At 49.9% G+C, this 3,830-nt stretch overlaps 2 annotated features.

The window, feature by feature from the left end:
* Positions 2,204-2,705: an enhancer, noted in NCBI's record as "H3K4me1 hESC enhancer chr10:119321491-119321992 (GRCh37/hg19 assembly coordinates)". NCBI's record gives its function as "activates a minimal SCP1, AML or CMV promoter by ChIP-STARR-seq in naive H9 embryonic stem cells {active_cell/tissue: H9 hESC(naive)}" and the evidence as "EXISTENCE:reporter gene assay evidence [ECO:0000049][PMID:30033119]".
* Positions 2,706-3,205: an enhancer, noted in NCBI's record as "H3K4me1 hESC enhancer chr10:119321993-119322492 (GRCh37/hg19 assembly coordinates)". NCBI's record gives its function as "activates a minimal SCP1, AML or CMV promoter by ChIP-STARR-seq in naive H9 embryonic stem cells {active_cell/tissue: H9 hESC(naive)}" and the evidence as "EXISTENCE:reporter gene assay evidence [ECO:0000049][PMID:30033119]".

Below are 3,830 nucleotides of genomic sequence, written 5' to 3' on the forward strand. Positions count from 1 at the left end.
CTCTTCTAAAACAGTAGAGTTTTAGGATTTTCCTTGAGCTCTGGAGAACAAGTTTTACCTCTCTGGAGTTTAAACTGGAGTTGAGTCAGTTGTTTGAAGCACTGCTCCCTTGTTTGCCTACCCACTCCGCCCATTATTATGAAGAAAATGCAAATTTATACAACAGTAGAGTGAATAGTGTAATGCATACATCTCCCATCTTCAGTAATTATGTGATGGATTGAATTGTGACGCTCCCTCAAATTTACGTGTTGAAATCCTTACCCCAATTACCTCACAATGTGAACTCATTTGGAGATGGGGGCTTTATAAAGGTAATCAAGTCAAAAGGAGATAGCTAGAGCAGGCCCTAATTCAGTGTGACTGGTGACCTTACAAGAAGAGGAAGTTTGGTGGCTTGTCTTGGATCACACCTGTAATCCCAGCACTTTAGGAAGCAGAGGCAGGAGGAACACCTGAGTCCAGGAGTTCAAAACCAGCCTGGGCAACATAGTCAGACCATCTATCTAAAAAAAAATAAAAAATAAAAATAAAAAAAAGAAAAGGAAGCTTGGACATAGACAGACCCAGAGGGAAAATGATGTGACGATCCAAGGAGAAGATGGCTGTCTACAAACCCAGACCTGGAATAAAGCCTTTCCTCGGCAGGACCAGTACTGCCGACAACTCCGTCTTGGATTTCCAGCCTCCAGAGCTGTGAGAAAATAAATTTCTGTTGTTTAAACCACACAGTCTGGTGGTTTAAACAACAGCAGTCTTAGCTTGCTAATTACAAATGATCAAGTGAAGGTCAATCTAGTTCCATCTACCCTTCCCAGTCTCTCACCAGCCCAGGCTATTTTGGAGCAAATTCCAGACATTGTATCTTGTCCTTAGTAACCATGTTAGGATGTATCTCTAACAGGATTCTTTTGAAAGCTTAACCGCAGTACCACGATTCTTTAATAATTTGACTGTCCCAAGAGGGGATGCCCCACAGGATGAGCAGACGCCTGTGTGGTGACTGCTGCCCAGCTGGCATGGACTCTGAGCTCTGTCCAGAATTCAGTCTCCACTTTCCCCAAAGATGAGATCCCTGTTGGATCCAGGTAAACCAGACTCTCCAGCCCTGGTCCTGGGAAGGGGGCTCTCCTACTGGGTGGAGCCTGGTGATGCTGCCCATTTCTGCCATTCCCACCCTGCCCAGCTCCCCTGACTAAGCTCATGTAATTTCAGGTATACAGCAAGAACACTTCTAGGATCTGTGGGTCTCATTTAACAAGATGCTCTCCAAAATTTCCAGAAACATTCCCCAAAGCAGCAAATGCTAAGTAGAACTAAAAATACGTATGCAATTCTGGCTGGGTGTGGTGTGTGGCCTCTGTGTGTGTGTGTGTTTAGGGGGAAACGTGGATGCCTCCCCCTTCCTCTGTGGGACATGAATCTTGATGTTGCCAGTCTGGCCATACTGTGGACATCAGCAGGGCTACAGGGGTCTCAGGAGGAGGGCTTTGCTCTCTTACCTGGGGCCTTGGGTGCCTGTGGTCATGGTCCTGTCCCCCTTGGGTGCCAGCAGCTTTAGCCACTATCTCCCCTGCTATGTCGCAGCACAGATTAACCATGGGAACCAGGCCCCAGCAGGAGCTGGCAGCCCAGAGTAACCAGGATAGCTGAGGCAGAACCTAGGTGGAGTTGCTCATGTCCTAGAGCTGCCTCCCAGAGAGGGCCCACTAGGGAGGAACCCACTGGGAGGGTTAGCCTGGGAGTGTCCTCCTAGTCGCTCTGTGAACACCTCCGAAGGACCTTTCTAAGGTTTCTGGCATGCAGGTTGCTTCCAGCGAGCAGCTAGCTAGCCAGGGCTGCCTTCTGCTGTTCTGGGCTGCTGGGGGGTCTGTGGCCCTGGAAACCACAGCTATGGGGCTGTAGCCTCTCTGAGCAGAGCCAAGTGAGGCTCCAGTCTCCTCTGGCAGTGGCTGTATTGTCAAGTAGCATACAAGCAATTACACCCATGGCAGCTCAGTTGCACCCTAAGCAAATTAGGTGCTGATCCAAAGGTGTAATTAAGCAATAGTGAGTGCAATTTAGCAATTGCAAGTGCCTTCCTCACTAGTACAGCAATCACAGGCCCATTCAAAGACCTGTTGGAGGCCCATTTTGTTTCTACGACCCTGCCTGTGCTAAGTCCAGACCTCGAAGCCAAGTTCTGTTGGCTAAGAAAGATCTCGAAGCCAAGTTCTGTTTGATTTCTAAATATTGGGGGAGAACTTTGGATGTGTCAAGGTGCCAAACATAATTAACATTCCTTAGAAACAAAACACACAACAAGCCTGCTATTGTTTTTTTTTAATTATACGTCTTCTGATATAAAACAATCCCTTGGTGTTGGTGATGTGTTGATTAATTATCCCAGACAGTTCCTTCTGAAAGTTAGGATATGTGTTTCTTGACCTCCTTCTCCATTTCAAGGTAGCCAACCTATCGAGTTTCCTCAAGTGCGTTGTCATTACCTGTGCTGGAAAAGTGGAGGGAGAAATGGATATCCTTGGGTGGTGGTGGGGCCAGGCTGGCCTGTGGGCTTTCGGGGGCTTTGTAGGCTTTGGGGCTAGGGGTCTGGGTGGCTTTCTAGGTGGACCCAGGGGAGCCAGGTCTGCAGCCCCCATGTGTGCCCTAGATAGAGGGCCCAGTGGGGAGGGCCCAGTGCTTGCCATGCCTGGTGGGTGAGGACGGAGCAGTGTGGCGTTTGTCTGCAGACTCTGGACCCTCCAGTCACGAAGTCCCTGGTGACTTGCTGAGCAGACTCTCCCATGGCCACTCCCCATGGACCACTCACTTTCTGCTACCCTTTTCTGCGTTTCTGAGTCCTCCTGTGAGCCCCTGAGAGGCATGCCAAGGTGAGGCTGCAGCTGACACAAGACCTGACCTGAGAGAGCCACAGGGTGGCAGCCAGGAGAGGGGCCCGAGTCTTGGCAGGTGTGTGCGGGTAATTCTGTGGGTGCTGAGGGGAGGGGAGAGGCCCCTCCAAAGAGCCATGAAGGTGTATGTGTGCGCACATGCACAAATGTGTGTGTGTGTGGGGCTATGTGTGGTTGCTCATGTGTTTATATAGGGGACTGTGTGGGTGCTTGTGTGTGTGTATGGATGTATGTTTGAGCATGTGTATGAGTGTGCATAGGTGTGTATGTGTGTATATGGGTGTGTGTGGGTGTGTACATGTGTATGCATATGTGTACAGGTGTGTCTGTATGAGTGTGCATGCGTATGGGTAGGTGTGTATGAGTGTGTATCAGTGTGTGGGGATGTGTCTGTGTGTATATGGATGTGTGCATGTATATACAAGTAGGCATGTGGGTGTGCATGTGTGTCCGTGGGTGTGTGTGTCTGTGCATGTGTGTCTGTGGGTGTGTGTGGGTGTGCATGCATGTCTGTGGGTGTGCATGTGGGTTCGTGGGTGTGTGTGGGTGTGCATGTGTGTCTCTGGGTATGTTGGTATGTATGTGTGTGGGTGTGCATGTGTGTCTATGGGTGTGTGGGTGTGCATGTGTGTGCGTATGTGGGGGTGTATGTGTCTGTGTGTGTGGGTGTGCGTGTGTGTCTGTGTGTATGTGGGGATGCGAATGTGTGTCCATGGGTGCATATGGGTGTTCATGTGTGTCTGTGGGTGTGTGTGGGTGTGCATGTGTGTTCGTGGGTGTGGGGGGGTCTGCATATGTGTCTGTGTGTGCATGTATGTCTATGGGTGTGTGGGTGTGCGTGTGTGTCTGTGTGTGTGGTGTGTGTGAGTGTGCATGTGTGTGCATACGTGTGGGTGTGCTTGTGTGTCCATGGGTGCATGTGGGTGTTCATGTGTGTCT

The sequence above is a fragment of the Homo sapiens genome, chromosome 10 (genome assembly GCF_000001405.40).
Source record: "Homo sapiens chromosome 10, GRCh38.p14 Primary Assembly".
NCBI lineage: Eukaryota > Metazoa > Chordata > Mammalia > Primates > Hominidae > Homo > Homo sapiens.